The sequence below is a fragment of the Homo sapiens genome, chromosome 10 (assembly GCF_000001405.40).
Source record: "Homo sapiens chromosome 10, GRCh38.p14 Primary Assembly".
NCBI classification, from domain to species: domain Eukaryota; kingdom Metazoa; phylum Chordata; class Mammalia; order Primates; family Hominidae; genus Homo; species Homo sapiens.
Window position 1 is genome coordinate 38334926 of NC_000010.11, and position 19136 is coordinate 38354061.

The following is a 19136-nucleotide window of genomic DNA, read 5'->3' on the forward strand; positions in this document are numbered from 1 at the left end:
TGGCTCTTAGGGATGCACATGATGTGTATACTGTATGTAGAACATGTATAAGTCTTTAGAATACAGTTATTGTATTTCTCTACTCTCATCCTTTGGTAGACATATATTAAATGATAACAGTGCATTTTAGAAATAATTTTTATGAGACTATTTTAAATCTGTGATTGAATATCTTGCTTTAAGGGTTATCTTTTTGCAAGGGAGGGATTCTAGTCTTTTAGCAAAATTCTAGAAAGTTTTTTCCAGAAATATCCCACCAAAAAAATAGGTAAATATAAAATAAGCCATGAGCAATTTCAGCTGCAAGAGTTACTGAATATAGAAACTAATCAAATATATTGTGAAAAAGAATAAAAGTAGGGCTTCCCAGTAAATGATAAAGATTTAGTGCAGGTGTAAGGAGGCCCAGAAAAAGGCCAGGCAGGCTGGAGAAGTGAGACAGCTGACCAAGGCCCTTCTGACGGGTGGTGTGCAGGTCATTCCTGTTCCTTTTGCTCCCCATGCTTTGCCTCTCTCTTTGACTCAGAAGTCGGAAAGATAAACCATCTCTCCAAGGTCTCAAACTGTGGCTTGGAGGTGAGGTGCTTTTGAAACCTAGCCCTCATGAAGTCCTTGCACCCAGGGAGGGATTTAATTTTACACAAGGGTCCCTGTAAATTCAAAATGGGTTTTATTAATCAGTTTTCTTAATTTCACTTCCTAACCATCTCCACCTGTATCCCTCATATAAACATCTCAAATGCAACATGTTGACTCAGCTCACATGCTTTCTTTCCCTCCCTGCACCAACACAGCATCTGTCTCTATACCTGAATTTCCATGTGCTCAGTCACTCATGTTAGAAACTCAACTCCACGCTCTCGTATGCCACATCTAATGAGCCATGGTCTATAGACTCTATCCACCCTGTCTTTCTTCTAGATACCACATTTCCTCCTCACATACCTGCCTTATTTCAGGTCTCTTAATACTTTGCTTAAGCCTTTGTCACCTTTCCTCTTTCACCATCTGATCTTCCACACAGCTACCAAAGAGATCTTCCACCACATGGTTATTATCACCTTACGTGTTCACCCAAATTGCACGCAGGTGTGAGGATGCCTGAGGAATATCATGCATGCAATAAAAGGCACAAATATTAAATATATAGCTCAATGAATTTCACAAAGTAAACGCATCCACATAAAACCGTCACGGATCAAGATGTAGAACGTTGCGGACATCTCAGAAAGCCTTCTCAGTCCCCCTTGCAGTCAGTGCCCTCCGCAGAGGGAACCACTATTTCGACCTCTACCATAGATTACCTTTATCTTTCTTTGAGCTTTATATAAATAGAATCACAGAATTCTATGTCTGGATTCTTTGGCTCAGTTTTATGTTTATAAGACCAATACATGTTGGATACAGCAGTGGTTTATTTTACATTATTGTATAGTATTCCATTTTATGAATATAATACAATGGATCTGTTCTACTGATAGATGTTTGGGTTTTTCCTAGTTTGGGTTATTATATATAATGCTGCTATGAGCATTCTTGTACATGTCTTTCAGATGCCTACACATATACATTTCTGTTCGGTATGTACTTAGGATTGGGATTGCTGACATAATAGGCTATATATGTGTTCAATTTCGATAGATATGGCCAATCAGTTTTCTAAGTGGTTGCACCAATTTACACTCTCACAAACACTATGTTAACGTTCTGTTTGCTCCACATCCTTGCAAAATTTGGCACCTTGTTTTATTTTAGCCATTCCGGTGGATATGTATCATGTTGTATCTTTAATACTCATTTCTCTGGTGGCAAATTATATTGAGCATCTTCTCATATGCTTATTGACCATTTCCATATTCTCTTGGAGAAGGTGCCTCTGCAAGTATTTTGCCCAGTGTTATTGTTGTTTTAATTGGCCCATTCCTATTGATTATTAGGCTAGATTTGAATCCTTTGTTGGATATATGTATTTCATTTATCTTCATCCATTTGAGGCTTGTCTTTTCACTCTTCCAAGGATGTGTTTACATAAATGGAAATTCTTAGTTTTAATGAAATCTGATTTATTAATTACTCCCTTATTGTTGATGCTTACTGCATCCTGTATAAAAACTATTTATCATCACAAGGTCATGGAGATTTTCCTGTTTGTTGTGTTCTAGATACTATATTATTTTGCTGTTCAGATTTAAGTCTGTGTTAAGTTTGGACTTTATTTCTGCTTATGGTATGAAGTAGCAGTAAAGGTTCATTTTTATACTTACGGAGGGTTGTTCATTTAAAAAAGTTTCTTCACTGCATGTTCGAGGCATCGTTGTTAAAAATTAGGTGACTGTATTTTAGTTCTGTCTTTGAATTCTTTACCGTATTTTCTTAGTCTACTTATTTATCCCAGGACCAATGCCATACTGTTTACCTTGCCTTTATAATATGTGGAACTTTATAAAAGTTCCACAGATGGTGGAACTTTCATCTTTGTTTTTCACTTTTAGAACTGCCTTAGTTATTCTTGGACCTTCAGGTTTTGAAATAAATTTTAGAACCGTCTTATCATAAAACTACTGAAATTGTATTAGAATTACACTGACTCTGTAGATAAACTTGGTGAAAATTGACATGGGCAATATTGAATCTTTTATTTCATGCCTATAGCAAAGCTACAATATTTAGCTGCATCTATTTTTAATATGACATAAATTTCTAAATTAGTTTTCTGTCCAAAAAGTTTTCTGATTTCTACTGCAGTCTACTCTGTACTGTGGCCTATTTAGAAATGTAATCCTTAATTTTCAAACATTTGGAGATTGTTCTATTTATCCTTTGTTATTTTCATTATATATATTCATAGAATATACTTGGTATGATTTCAGTCATTTGGTATTTTTAGAAAGTTACTTTATAAAAATTTATTTAAATAAATTTGTTTTATAAATATCAAGGCTTTCCATTGCTTTCATACAGCTTTTCATTTTTGTTTTTTCATTTTGTCAACCCTTATAAGTCTAAAAGCTGAAAGTGGAGTGTAAGTGAAATAGCTTCTCATTGTCTGATACATGATCTTAATCGGTAGACTTCAGAAACAAGCTAAATGAGATGTGAGATTGTCATTGAAATTCTCTGCTTTCTTCAAATCCGTATTCCTGTGGGATGTGCCACTTGCTGCCACCACTTGGCTTACAGGGAGTAATCGTGACAATTCTTTTTTTTTTTTTTTTTTTTTTTGAGACGGAGTCTCACTCTGTCACCCAGGCTGGAGTGCAATGGTGCCATCTCGGCTCACTGCAAGCTCTGCCTCCCGGATTTAAGTGATTCTTCTGCCTCAGCCTCCCAAGTAGCTGGGATTATAGGTGCATGCCACCAGCCCTGGCTAATTTTTGTATTTTTAGTATAGATGGAGTTTCACCATATTGACCAGGCTGGTCTCGAACTCCTGACCTCATGATCTGCCCACTTTGGCTTCCCAAAGTGTTGGAAGTACAGGCGTGAGCCACCCCACCTGGCCAACAATTCTCTTAAGTCCCGTTTTCTCTGCTCATGCCTCCCAGCAAATGCCTTTGATATCCTACTTCTCACCAAACCTAGTAATAACCCAGTCATATTATTGAATTTTTATATTACTAACACAATTTTTATTTCTGGTTGTATATTTTAGTCCTAAGCAAAATATCCCTCAAGGATACCACTGTACTTTTAATTCTTGTATGTTATAGTTACTGTTGCAATTAAATTGAAAATTAAGAATTATTTGTCTACCAAAACCATAACAATTCATTGTACTTTCTATAATATGACTGCAATATTTAATGCCTCTGTAGCCTAGCAACAATTAAAAATAAAATAAAGTCAGAAAATATCAATTTCCTTTTGAAAAAAAAAGCAGGCTTTTATTTGTTCATGGTTGGATGATAAAATGATGAGTGAAATAAGTGTCATAGAAGATTTAGAATCAGTGACCTAGAAGTTAAGTTCACATTTTCTTTAAAAAATAAAATAAAATAATAAAAAGGCATTTGAAACCATTTAGGATCTGAAATATCTCATTTCAATCTCATTCTTATTATTTACTATAATTGAGTTTTGAAGTATCTGAAAGCTAATTGTGATTTCCCAAATACAACCTACTTTTTCAGGGCTGTGTTTCTCAAAATATTGTTTTCCCTGTGCCTGAAATACCCTTATGTATTTCCCTTGTCAAATTTACAAGCTCTTTTTCATCCTTTTTTTAATTAATTAATTTTTTTTTTGAGAGAGAGAGAGAGAGGTGATGTCTTGCTCCATCACCCAGGCTGTAGTACATTGGCACTATAATAGCTCACTGCAGCTTTGAACTCCTGGGATCAAGTGGTGCTCCCACCTCAGCCTCCCCAGTAGCTGGGACTAGAGGCATGTGCCACCATGCCTGACCCAGTCCATTTTTAAGCCTTACACATAGTATTTTCCCTTTCACCTTCATCTCTTTACCCTGGTTGATCTTACCATCTACTTTTTCTCCATTGTTCATTAATATTTAATCCAACAATTATTTCTTGACTACCTGTCATGTGCCAACAACTTGGGCTTTAAAGAGAGGAAGGTGACTAAGACATGAGCCTTCCCCTAACTTCAGAGAGTTCAGAGTTTGGTAGAGAAGACCAAGCGATAAGTGAAATAAAGTGATCAAGAAATTCCTAAAACATCTACACAGAGTCCAAAGTTTCTGAATCACTTTTTGCAACAGTGGTTGATGCCCATGCTTTCCACCCAGCATTGTCTCTGTACCACCGAGAGTGTCGACGGTGCCATGTAGCTTTAAGAAACAGAATGCATTACTGTTGTCTCTAATCAGAAGCTTGTTTTTGAAGCTTACCAGAATATGTCAAAGCAAGATATTCAGACAATAACCAGATCTTGTATTCTTTCCTCAAAGGTTCCTTAAATGGTTTGTTGACTGAATATTGGGAACCTTTAAGAGCTCTGTCATGCCACCAGGAATAATGCAGTGACAACTTTGTCACAACTTGTCACTTGGTCTGTAGCAATCGTAAGATGCATTGCAATGTCAGAGATGTTAAAATGTGAAGACTAAATGTTTCAGAATCAATGACTTAGAGTAATAAGTGTTATTTTAAAATATTTAGTAATAAACTAGAAAGTTCAACTTAGAAACTTTAAACTTTAATAAGTTAATTAAGTTAAAATGACCATTCCTCATAGCACACTGAGAGAGGTAGATTCTAAACTAAACCTCTTGCAACAGGGCTTCTTTGTAGTGCAGTGACCATACTCAGTGGATGGACATTCGGAGAATTCAGGCTGTGCTGGTTTTTAAGAAATGTGGGGGTCTTACAGACCCCCTTGATGGCTAGAGCATTCAGTGATAGGAAGTGTGCCTATCCAAAAATATAAATAAGCAAAAACTGCTCTATTACCTGAAACAGGAAGGAAGGTATTCAAATTGGTTTTTATATGCAATTTCTATAGGAAAACAATACAATGAAACCAGAAACCTGAAATACACTGGAGAAGAGACAGTCTCCTGGGGTAGACAAGAAAGATATCAGAAATCATATTCCTAGCTATGCAGCGTGATGAATCGCAACCCAAATGAAAAAAGAGGGGCTAATCATGAGAGCTTGGTTCTAAAAAGAAGAGGGATAGCAAACATGCAGTGGTAAACGTCACAGGCATGAAAAGGCTCAGGTGATTGTTCCTACTGACATTATCTGCTAAAAGAGAGTGACCATACAAATAACCAGTTTCACTTATGGGCTAAACTCTGTCACTAGGTGCTGTTTGGTCTTTAAAAAAAAATTAAATCTTTTAAATTGATTTTATCTGAAAAGTAAGTCACATATATTTATCATGTGCAACATGTTTTGAAATCTGTATACATTGTGGGATGGGTACATTGAGCTAATTAACAAATGCATTATTTCATATACTTATTTTTTGTGGTGAGAGCACTTGAAATCTACTTCCTTAGCAATTTTCAAGAATATAATCTTGTACGTTGTTATTAACTATGATCACCATGTTGTACGGTAGATCGCTCCGTATTGCCAGTGATCAGCCCAATTACTCAACCACAGAAATAAATTCATCCTAGAGCTTGAGGACCTCCATGCTGTGCCTCTTTCTCCTGATGGTCCAGCACACTGTGGGCTTGGGGTGTTAACACAGTCCTGCTCAGCTGGTGTTGCAAGCTTTCAGTCTGTTAGAATCAAACATGTATTTTCTTCCCCCTCCCTTCTCTCCTGCACACAGACCTATAAGTGATTAAACATAGAGCTTAGTCTGTGCCACCTATATATGTTTTGTGATAACTTTAAGGAGCTGATAACAAAACTTTTTTTTACAAGGTTTTGTTTTGTTTTGCCAGAGCATTCATGTGTCAAGAATTTTCTTTCCTTTTTGGGATTCTTCATATAGATAGTAGATACATAGATAGAAGCTAGGTAGATAGGTAGGTAGATAGTTAGATGTCAGATACATAGAAAGATATAGATAAATGATAGATAGATAGATAGATAGATAGATAGATAGATAGATAGATAGATAGAAGGTAGGTAGGTAGATATAGATAGATGATAGGTAGATAGATAGATGATAGAAAGAAGGTAGGTAGGTAGGTAGGTAGATATAGATAGAAGATAGTAGGTAGAGATAGATAGATAGATAGATAGATAGATAGATAGATAGATAGATAGAAAAAAAGAAAGAGAAAGAAGAGGGAGACAAAAGAAAGAAGATAGGAAGATAGATGGCAGATACACAGAAAGAAAGAAATAGATGACAGATACATAGAAAGATAGATATTAATAGATAGATATATAGATAGATGATAGTCTTAGTTCATTTGTGCTGCTGTAATAACTGAGACTGGGCAATTTATAAAGAACAGGCACTCATTTTTTCACAGTTCTGGGGTCTGGAAGTTTAAGATCAAGGCACCAGCAGGTTCAGTGTCTGCTGAGAGCTGCTCTGTGCTTCCAAGATGGCGCCTTGTTACTGCATCCCCCAGAGGGAACAAACGCTGTGTCCTCACGCGGCGGGTAAGACAGAAGGGCACAAAAGAATCTAAGTTTGTTCCTTTCAACCCCCGCTACAAGACACCAATACATTCGTGACTCAGTCACTTCCCAAAGACCCCATCACTTAATACTGCCACAGTGGGGATTACATTTAAACGAACGATTCTTGAGGGACATTCAAATCAGATAGAGAAATAGATCTTCAGATTTTCTCCCCATGAGATTTTAAAATTAAATTTCTAGATTTCCCTATCTTTTTATCCATATTGTTTCCTTTCTGTTACTTTTTGTTTATAAAGGCAATACAAAGCATGCTCTTGGGGTGAACTCTTGGTCATAGTGACAGTGCTCAGCCCTCTGCATCCACTCATCTGCTCCCCTTGTGACTCAAGTCATACATTTGCTGAGTGACTGTCTCAGACACCCAGTTTAAAAGTGACCCCAACTTTCCCTCATTAGCACTATATAGCAAGTAAGTGAGCCAATTAGACAGAGCCTTACCCATATTAGTGAATAACCAATAGCCACAGGGACCTAATGAGCCGTGGCTGGGCATCTTTAGGTCATTTGGGTTACAATCCCACAAAGCATTGAACAAATGGTAGACATTTAATTGGCCTTTGCTCATGACTAAATTTTATTCATTATAGTCAAAATCTTAATTGAAATAAGACTAAATCTCTGTCACTCTTGTTAATAACACTGTATTTTTAAATCGTTGAGTTCTGGTGTTCTTTTAGCTACATTATTTTAAAAAGGACAGGGAGCTGCTGAATTCTTTCTGTTGAATTCTAAATGTGATCTTTGCCATTGCTTATTTAAATTTAAGAAAGCTGTACTCATTCATCATTGATAATCCATATTTTTATTTTCACATTCATGGATTAGGCTTAACAAAATCTTTGAAAGGGAAAATATATTCCTAAATCTGAGCATAGAAGCATGCGTAATTTTTTTTTATTATACTTTAAGTTTTAGGGTACATGTGCACAATGTGCAGGTTATTTACATATGTATACATGTGCCATGTTGGTGTGCTGCACCCATTAACTCGTCATTTAGAGCATGCATAATTTTTTAAGTTAATGCAAGCTGCCCTAGTTTCCAACTCTGCATTTTACAAGGTGATTTTTGAACAGCTTACTCCAAATCAGTGGAGGATAGCTTATTGAGGCTTTTTTTACTTAGGTTTTACTGCTTTATAATTATTCCAAAACCTAACTCTACAAGTATGTATGCCTGTGTGTGCTAATTTAATGTAAGCCTTATAAGTATAATTTGGTAGTTTCCCTAGAGTAAACTTTATATTATTCTACCTTTCATTTCCACTGTCTGAAAGGTTGCCATCGTTAAGGAGGCTGAACATTTCAAGTGAAGGACAGTCCTCATGGTTATCATGAATGTGGAATCCTCTGGACAGGGGACTTATGAAGCTGCTTTGTATTGGGTCTGCTCTGGTAATGGCCCAGATGGAAGTCAGGGTGCCCCGACGGTCACCCAGGCATGCTTTTCCAATATGTGCTTTCATTTCACACCTTCTCAAAGTGAATGCCACTTGAGAGGCTCATGTTTGATTGCCTGAAGGCTGCTGCCTTTGTCCTATATGCTGCCGTCAAAATGTATTGCAAGGGATTCTGTCTTCCACCTTTCTTTATAGCACACCAAAATATTTGGCAGCAAGGCATAAACTTTTCATCCTATGCTTGTTTGGCCACATTATGCTTTTTAGTGATAATTAGCAGCGTAATTAGCATAATAACTAGGAACAGGTACTTTTGTGGCCCCGACCTTGTGCTGAAATTCTAAACTTGTCATTACTGTGTGTGATGTAACCATAGGCCGGCACTTTCTCTGAGCCTCAGTGGTGGTGGTGGTGGTTGTTGTTTGAGACGAATTTCACTCTTGTTGCCCAGGCTGGAGTGCAATGGTGTGATATTGGCTCACTGCAACTTCCACCTCCCAGTTTCAAGCGATTCTTCTGCCTCAGCCTCCTGAGTAGCTGGGATTACAGGTGCCCACCACCATGCCTGGCTAGTTTTTGTATTTTTAGTAGAGATGGGGCTTCGCCATGTTGGCCAGGCTGGTGTTGAACTCCTGATCTCAGGTGATCCGCCTGCCTCAGCCTCCCAAAGTGCTGGGATTACAGGCGTGAGCCACCATGCCCAGCCTTTCCTTTTTTTCTTTCTTTTTTTTTTTTCAGTTAAATGAGGATAATAATAACCTCCCTGAGAGCTATGAGAATTAAATTAGATAATATATAAAAAGTGTCTGGTGCAGGTGCCTACCTCATAATAAACTGTTAGTAAATGACATCCACTATAGCTGTTGCCTTAATTTACCCATGTGTACTATTTGTGTTTGACCTGTCAGTGCCACTAGACCAGACTGGATTTATTTTTGCTTCTAAATTACAAACCTAGATCTGTGATTTTCTGATGAAAGAAAAGCCCCGGTTTTAATCATACATTACAGATCGTCTTTGGGAATGCAGCTGGTTCGTTTGCCTGTGTGGTTGTGCACTAACTCTTGCTGGCTTCAGTTTGTATTGGAATTGTTCAGCTGGTGACACCAGTGACTCCCCATCTGTGTTTTCGGTCTCTGTTCTAAGAGCTGCCCAAGTTAAGTCTGCAATTCAATGTGTTTAAACTTTCACAAGGGTTCATCTGATACATATAATATAGTCGTACCCATCTAAACACATAAAATCTAAACATTTGCTCTAAAACATAGAATCTTGTGCTACAGGTTTCATTTTTATCCCTAATACATAAGAACCTCGGCAGGAATAACATTTTCAAGGAAATTATATGCATATTCAACCTTGTGACAGGAGAAAAGCAGAATTTTATCTATTTCATCTGGTTGTGGCTTTATGTATTTCTATTCTAGGGATGCTAGAATTTGGGGAGGATGTTCTTTAAGAGGTGAAGAGGCCGGGCGTGGTGGCTCACGCCTGTAATCCCAGCACTTTGGGAGACCGAGGCGGGCAGATCACGAGGTCAGGAGATCGAGACCATCCTGGCTAACACGGTGAAACCCCGTCTCTACTAAAAATACAAAAAATTAGCCGGGCCTGGTGGCAGGTACCTATAGTCTCAGCTACTCGGGAGGCTGAGGCAGGAGAATGGCGTGAACCCTGGGGGTCAGAGCTTGCAGTGAGCCAAGATCGCGCCACTGCACTCCAGCCTAGGTGACAGAGCGAGACTCCGTCTTAAAAAAAAAAAAAAAGTGAAGAGAGGCTGGGTGTGGTGATTCACACTTGTAATGCCAACACTTTGGGAGGCTGAGGTGGGAGGATCATTTGAGCTCAGAAGTTCCACCCTGCAGTGAGCTGTGATTGGTGAGCTATGATCCACCACTGTACTCCAGCCAGGCGATAGAGTGAGACCCTGCCTCAAAAAAAAAAAAAAAAAGGGCCATACGCAGTGGCTCACACCTGTAATCCCAGCTCTTTGGGAGGCCAAGGCAAGCGGATCATGAGGTCAGGAGTTTGAGACCAGCCTGAGCAACATGGTAAAACTGCGTCTCTACTAAAAATACAAAAATTGGCCGGGCTTGGTGGTGTGCACCTGTAATCCCAGCTACTTGGGAGGCTGAGGCAGGAGAACTGTTTGAACTCAGGAGGCGGAAGTTGCAGTGAGCTGAGATCACACCACTGCACTCCAGCCTGAGTGACAGAGTGAGAGTCCAACTCAAAAAAAAAAAAGGTACTGAAGAGGAATAAAGATATAAATAAACGAATAAATGGCAATCTTTCAGAAAGCCCTTATAATTCCGAGGGATCCCATGGTCAGCATTTTTAGCCAGTAGCTTTTCTATTTTTTTCAGTCCCAAATAGAAAAGCTAGTTGCTAAAAATACTGATCATGGGATCCCCAGAATCATAAGGGCTTTCAGAAGACCTCGTCTCCACATCTATGTTCACACATCCACGTGTATGTTCTGAAGGGTACTAGAGACTTTTTTTTTCTTTTTTTTCTTTGTTGTAGAGATAGTCTTGTTATGTTGCCCAGGCTGGTCTCGAACTCCTGGGCTCAAGCCATCCTCCCACCTTGGCCTCCCCAAGTGCTGGGATTACAGGTGTGGGCCACCATGACTGGCTAGAGACATATTGTCTTCTGACAGAGCAGTTCCTGCCTTGCCTGGAGTAGCCAGACAGAGAATATTCATTATCCTCATTAGTGAGTAAGATCCCTTACTTCTGTGACTCCGTGGACATCCCAATTGCACCTGCTTTTTAAATCAATGTCACAAGAACTGGTGTGAGTTAAGATGCAAAGCTCTATTTCTGTTCTTTCTAGCAGGCTGTTCAGCATGAATCTTGGCCATGACCTATTATTTCTGTGCCCACCTTCTTCCCATACTATATTTTATCTATTTTTTTTAGCTCATTTCCTTCCATCCCTTTCTCATGCTTGGTAATTCTACTAACTTCCTCCTATGTCATACACAGGAAAAGGTATTCCAAATACTCACAGCTATACTCACACTCTATGTCTCCTAACCAACATCTTTCCTCTCCATAAGATCATGACTCTTACTTACTGAACATAACAAACAAACAAAACTAGAGGCTATCAGCCTGGGACACTCTCATCACAGTGCTCCATCCCAGTACATTTTCCGTATCTACATGCATCTCCATCTCCTTTCCTTCAACCTCAGAAGGAGGGTATCTCTGATTCTCTTCCAAGGCTAACTCTTCCACCTGAGACATCTGGTCCCACCTTCTCAGGAATTTCAGTCAAGTTTTTTTCTCTCTTACCTTTACATTTACCCTTTGCCTTTTAAATGGCTCTCTCCCCTTAATGTATAAACACACTCAAGTCAATGAGGGGAAAGGAAAAAGAACTTGGCACTATCCATCCTAGATCCCCTCTGGCAGGTGTTCCCCACCCAATTCCTGCCCTTTTCTCCATGTTCGGGTTTATGCACCACTGTTACTACCCCTGTGCAGTCCTCCAACTGCGGCAGCCTGGCTCTGCCCTGACTCCACTGAAACTACCTTGTCAAAGTCCCAGAGGACTTCCAGGTATGGAACTCGGTGGGAATATGTTAGACCTTGTATCACATGACATTTCTTCAGCTTTGAACACTGTGTACTGCTTTTTTCTTTTCCTTGGAACTGTCTAGTCCCTTGGTTTCACTCTGTATTTCCCTTCTGTCTCTGGCCACGCTTTCTCAGTCCCTTTTGCCGATTTTGAATACACTATCATTCTCTTAAACATTGGCTTCTTCTCTTCTTTCTCTTCCTCTTCCCTTCTCTTCACTTTCTTTACTCTTGCTGCATTGATTGCTTCTGCTTCTGTGGCTTCATTCATCACCGATATGCAGATGGCCCACACATTGTTTTTCCTGAGTTCCAGGCACAAATATTCAACTGCAAACTTCACATTTCCTCTTGGATATTCACGGAATACCTCAAAATCAATGTATCCAAAATGAAATGGATGCACCACCCCCACCTGGCCCTCCATGTTCTTCTTCCATTAAGTTTTATCTCAGGAAATGACCTGACTATCCTTATGTTTGCCCCCCAAAGAAACCTAGAGCTAACCTTGATTTCCTTCTCCTCCTCCAACCTTCAAAATCAAATCAGTCTGCACTTCTACATGTGCAGTCTTAACATTTCTGGAAATAGTTCTCCTTTTCCCTCCCTCCCTCTACTGCTCTAACTTAGGCCTTTATCATTTCTCTGGAATGACTGCAAATGACATCCTAACAGTTTTTCCTGACTCCAACGTTAACTATGTTCTATTCTCCACACTGAATGAGGCTCCTAAAAGTCAGTAAATTCTTCCTGTCCCTTCCTTGCTTTACCATTTTTTTGGCGGCTTGCTGAATGTTTTATTTGAATGTATTATTTTATTATGTATTAGGATAAAGTAGTACATAACTAGCACATCAAACACATTATTTTATGATTAGTAATACTTGGAGCAAAGCTAAGAATGTATCGATTTAAATTTGATTTAAGTGTAATTAAGTAAATAATAGCACTGGTCTAGAAATAGGATTGGTTAAAAAAAATAATATGGAACTCAAATGGCAGCAGAGACATTCCAAAGTTCTCATCAAGGTTTCCCCAGGAGGCCTCTCCCACCTCCCTCCAAGCTGAGCCGTCTGCCCTTCCCCATTCCCCTTCACCTTCCAGGGCTTCCCTCTCTCTGAGCATCACTGCACTGTAATGCGTGTTTCTACCTCTAGACTTTAACCTCAATGAGGGCAAGATGGAGACTTGATGCCTGACATGTGTGTAGGCAATAAATAAATGTTAGTTGAATAAACAGTGCAAGCTTTGGGTGTATAAAGCACTACATAGAGTACACTTCAAATTTCCCAGATTTCGGGTTGAGCCTTGATTTTTATAACACTGAGTATACTGTTTTTCTCTGGGAGAGACTAAGCAATGTGGCAAGTGACTGAATTTAAAATCAGGAGATTTAGAAGGGTTTAACAACTTTGTTCTGACATGGTTGGGACCTAGAAGGTGGCGAAGGAATAACTTTCTTCATATGAAGGGAACCATGCTAGAAAGGAATTTCTTTATAATGAAAGCTTAGGATGGTTCTGAAATGTTATGCTAATTAGTAATTGATGGTACGAGCATTTTGAAAGCATAGAATGCTATATCAATGCTAACTATTACAGACACAGGTTTAGTTTCTAGCTTAGTCATGCCTTTAGAGTTTAGTAGCACAAATCCATGCAACCCAACAGAATACATGGTGGGGGCCTAGTATGTAGAATTTGAAAGTAGTTCAAATTTGAATTAGAAGAATGAAGCTAGGACTTATTTGGAAAAGGAGATAGAAAAAAAAAGATCAGAAACTGTGGGGCCTTATTACCTTTGCAGTAAGTTATCTTCTTCATGAGATATGTGAATTATTTTATGTGCAGATTGTGTTTTGGGATTGTCAGATCTAAACTTATATTCTTGCTGGCTAATGTGCTGATAGCTAGGTCTGAAACTTGATGTGCTATCCAGACACATATGATCAGAAAAGATCTAGAGTGCAAAGAGCTGCCTGAGGAGCAAAATGTGGTTTTAATGTTGTGGAAAGATCACTTGCAAGTATATAAGACTGTATAAAGAAGAGGACTGTACGCAAGTGGGGTGAAAAAAAAGGATACGCGAATGTGCATATGACTGAATAGGGAGGAAGGTCAGGGCTAGAAAGGAGGCTACATAAAAAGGGGCAATGGAGAGTGCACAGGAAAGACACAGGAAGGTCAAGTCGAGCAAGGTAGAAACAGGAGTAGCTAGAGCCATTGGGAATCCATTTTGAAACAAGAAGGAGTTTTGAAAGGGAATAGGAAAGTAAGTGTCTTGAAGTAAAAGATAAATATGGATGGAGAAGGAAGAAATTCTGGATGATAGAGATGATAAAAATATTTATTAAGAAATGAAGTCAGGTTCAGTGTATGAAATGGAAAGGAATTTTTCAGAATTTTAAGAAAGGGGAAGTTCCTCTTGGAAAAGATATAGCAACCATCAGGGAATGACCTTTTCATTTCAGAAGAAGTGGGTGAGGAAGGTGGTGTGAGCATCAGGTATATTCTGGACCATTTCAAGTGCTGGTGAGAAGAAAGGAACTCTTTGCCTGAACTGGGCTTGGTTTTCCAAGTGCTGCTTTGGAAATGAAGACCCAGAGATGCAGAGCTTATGGTAGTTCATAAATCTTTATGTTCTATTATCTTTCATCTGCCAATAAAGTTCATTTTCAATAATGCCCACCATTGCTGTGCCCAGAATAACCACAGGCAAACATCAAAACAATACGCATAAGTTAGACAAGATTAAATCTTGTCTGATATCTTCACAAACAGATATGCACCATGTTGGAAACAAGTGTTTTTCTAGTCCCATCCAGGCTTCCCACAAGAAAGCCATGATGTGGGTCTAAACCATATGTTTTGAGTAAAGGAGAATAGAAGAAGGGGAGTGTCCGCAAAATGGAAAGAGATGAAGATGTTCCAAGGAAGTATGCTGAAACAGAACAGTGAATGTTTTGCCCAAAACTCAAAAAAAAAAAAAAAAAGAAAAAAAGAAAATTGCAATACATGGCTACTAAGTCTTTGATCGTAAGTCGAATTTATAGACCTGGAATTTGCCATCCTAGTCTTTCCTTTTTAGTAAGACTTCTGTCCTCTGGCAGTGCATATGGTAGGTCTCTAATGTTTCTGCATCTCCAGGAAGATGCAGATCCTTATTTTTGCTGGGAAATCCTTCTAAATAGAAATGTAACATTTTTATAAAAACAGATTAATGTGTTTTTCACTTAGTAAATGTTTTCAAGAGCTGAATTGAGAAGGAAAGAGACTGGAGTGGTTAATGGTGATTTGATTTCTGGCATTTTGAGTTTTCTGCTACAATTAGCTACATTACTTGGTGCCAAAGATCAGTGGGGAATTGTTGAGTTGCTGTATCCTTTAAAAAAAAAAACAAAAAACTTGTTATTTTGAAAGAACTTAAGGCTCACAAGATGTTACAAAAATAGTAGAGTGGCCTTACCCTAGATCCAGTTTTCCCCATTTACAACATTTCACTTAGTCCATTTTCGGAACCAGAAAATTAACATTGGCATAATGCTATTAACTAAACTACAGACCTTTTTTCAATGTCGCCAGTTTTCCACACATATTCATTTAGTTGCTGGATACTTTTAATTCTTGCTGATTTGTAATCTGGCCTTGCTTGGATATAACAGGAAAGATACTATCTGGATAAAGTTCTACAGTTTTAGAGAGACTATTAACACACTAATGTGTTCCTTTGTCATGAGCAATACCCTGACTACACTGCTTCTAAACTTTCTGATTTGTTTGGCTGTTTGGCATCTGAAACAATCCAAGACAAACTTAGAAAGATTAGGCAACACAAAAGACAGTAAGACCTGTTCATAGCTTGTTGCCTAGAAAACCAGGTAGCAGGATATTCTAGATGCTTCCTGCTGCTTCTACGTGAGTAGGATTAGCACTGGGGACAAAATAAGGAGTTTAGAGTAAACCAGTATTTCAGTCAAGAGTTAGTTGGCACTTAGTTAATGGCACTGGAAATAGCTTGTGGAGAGAACAGAATACAATGGTATAGACTCCTAATGTTTGATAAAATACTATTTTCAGCGTGGTAGAGAGGTTTTATTTGCCTAAATAGCTGTTATTAAATGGAATAACAACCACATTAGACCAAATTAATTGCAAACACAGCGGCAACCTGGGGAGAAGTTGAAACTCCAGTTTTGTGGATTACAGTTTTGAGTTTTATGATTGACATTTTTAAGTCCCCTATTTAAGGGGTCAAGATTATAACAATGTGTGTCTTATTAAGTCTCCAGGTCATTGTGAGCACTTAATAAATATTTGCTGAATGTTGTTTTTTTGAATGAACATAAGATAGAAACAAAAACTTCTCATCCAATTAACTAGAGTGAACGTAGGGAGAATTGTTTTGCTGTAACATGGAGAGTTTATTTTCAAATGAGGAAAGAGAAAAAATTACTCAGACTTGTTCCTGGTGAAGTGCATTCTCTGTTTGTATACTTTTTGATGGAGAAATTGATCTATAGAGCTGCTTAATTTTTTGAGGCATTTAGACAGCAATGAAAGGTAGTTCTCCACAGGACACCGAATCAAAAGGAGAGACCAGACTCTGGCCTCATATCCAGCCTATTTGAAACAAGCTATCTAGTTTCTCCTGCAGACACCTTGTCAACAACATGCAACAGTGTCAGGTGCCTTGCAGGAAAATAATCTGAGTCCCAAGCTAGCCTGTGCTCATCCACAATCACAATGAACATGTCAAGGAAGAATTTGCAGAGACTCAAGGGAAGCACAATGGGATAAGGTAATCACTTTCAGTGAAAAACTGTTTTCTTGAAAACAGGCTTGGACACAATTGAAAGCTGGCTTCCTGCAAACACGCCAAGAGTCTGTAATCTAGCCTATCCATTTTATGTCCTTTATTATTCATGGTATCCTATTCTTCTACCTTGTTGCCTGGTAACTTTTTCTGAGGACTGAGTTTCTGCAGCGATGTGGTGCACTCTTCCTGTGATGAAGAAATATCTGGGCCCCCTTCTGCAGGCTTTGGAAGATGATGTGTCTTGTCAAGGGGTAAAGGGCAAATGGATTTAATTTCTGCTTAAAACTATCATAGACGTTCCAAATAGAATATGTAAAATTTCTCTGTATTAGAAAAAGAAATGTGATACCAATTGTATATTTCCTTTTCTTTATTTATTCTCTGTAAGTCTGTCAGATGATAAATTGTAAATAACAATGATTAAAGAGTCATGCTACTGATGGATCTCCCTTTCTGTATAAACAGTGCCAGTTCTGGGCTTTGTAACCTTTGCTCTTTATAGTCTTACATCATTCCTGGGGAAGTGATGGGGCATGGGCCCAGAGCTGGGGTGTATGTGGTGTGGACACCTGTTTGTGGGGCTTTCCAACAAAGGATTATTTAAATAGACCTCTAACATATGAGTTGACTGTTTATTGGGAAGAAAGCATCTTGGTCTCTGATATATCCAAACATACGAGACACTGGGATTTTACGTCCTCACATTAATTAGTCCAGTTCTGGGGAATCCAGTCTAGAATTAACTGGTGATCCCTTATCGTTATGGTTACCGACTTGTCTTGTTTGATACACAGAAATCCTTTTTAAATCCAAATATAGTCTGTCTCAGACTACCCGCACATGCACAAACCAAAAAAAAACTATGAAAACCAGAATTTAGACTCAGTCATTATACTAGAGATTAGAATGAAACGACCCCAAACAACCCATTTCTTACCTGGTCTCTGAGAATAAGTTTATACTTTTAGTTTTCTGAGAATACTTCTCAGAATATGTGAGTTTTCTGAGCACATTTTTCAGCACGGGGCATGGTAGATAAATCACAGGCCAAGGTTTGGCAGGGATAGATGGGATCATTGTGTACCCTATTGTTCTTCTGATTTCCAGGAGAACAGAATGAGCCCATGCAAAACATAAACTTACGATGATTAAAAAAAACACACCTATCCATTCACTCATCAATAAAAACATATTATGATGGTTATCAAGCTGTGTCCTATGAGTGATAAAATATTTGTAAAATATAAAATTAAATGGCATCTATTGTGAACTCTATTCTAGTCTCTCTGAGCACCTCTAGCAGTTCAGCCCATCTTTCAAAAGTCATAACACCTTGAAAGCAGCAACTTTAGTGGAGAAAAAGGAAGAAGAGAGCAGTTTCATCACTTGGCTTGAATGAAAATCTTGGGGAAAGGAGAGACAGACGGTCTTGCTCTGAAGCTGTCTGGACTTCACTTAATTCAGTCTGTCTTAGGCTGGCGGTCATCCCGAGACTGCGGTAATGCTGAGCCTCCACAGCCCAGGCCCTCTCCCTTCTTTATAGAAATGATTTTTTTTATGGGACAGCCACACAACCTGGTCTTCTTATTCCTCATCACCTCTGAGCTCTAGGACATTTTAAAATGAGTCTTTGGGTCTAGACTCTCACAATTAGGCTTAATTTTACTCCATGACTTTCAGAAAATGTTGTTAAATTGTGGTCTCTTTAGAACAGTTGAAAGTGGGATAAGCGTAGGAGCTGAGTTCGACCCCCATGATATAGAAATTTTATTGGCCGGGCGCGGTGGCTCACGCCTGTAATCCCAACAATTTGGGAGGCTGAGGCAGGCAGATCACTTGAGGTCAGGAGTTCAAGACCAGCCTGGCCAACACGATGAAACCCCACCTCTACTAAAAAAAATATACATATATATATATATATATACACATATATACACACACAAAAATTAGCTGAGTGTGGTGGTGTGTGCCTTTAGTCCCAGCTACTCGGGAGGCTGAGGCAGGAGAATTGCTTGAACCCGGGAAGCGGAGGTTACAGTGAGCCGAGATTGCGCCACTGCACTGCAGCCTGCTGACAGAGTAAGACTCTGTCTAAAAAAAAAAAAAAAAAAGTTTTATTTAGGAATCTAATGTTCTAATAACCAGATTTGTTCTTTCAATCTAATTTTCTTGATATAGGATAAATGATTACTAAGTAAGTTGGTATCATTAATCAAAACCTCTAGAATCAAAAGCCAATATAAATTATCTCAGTGTTTTATG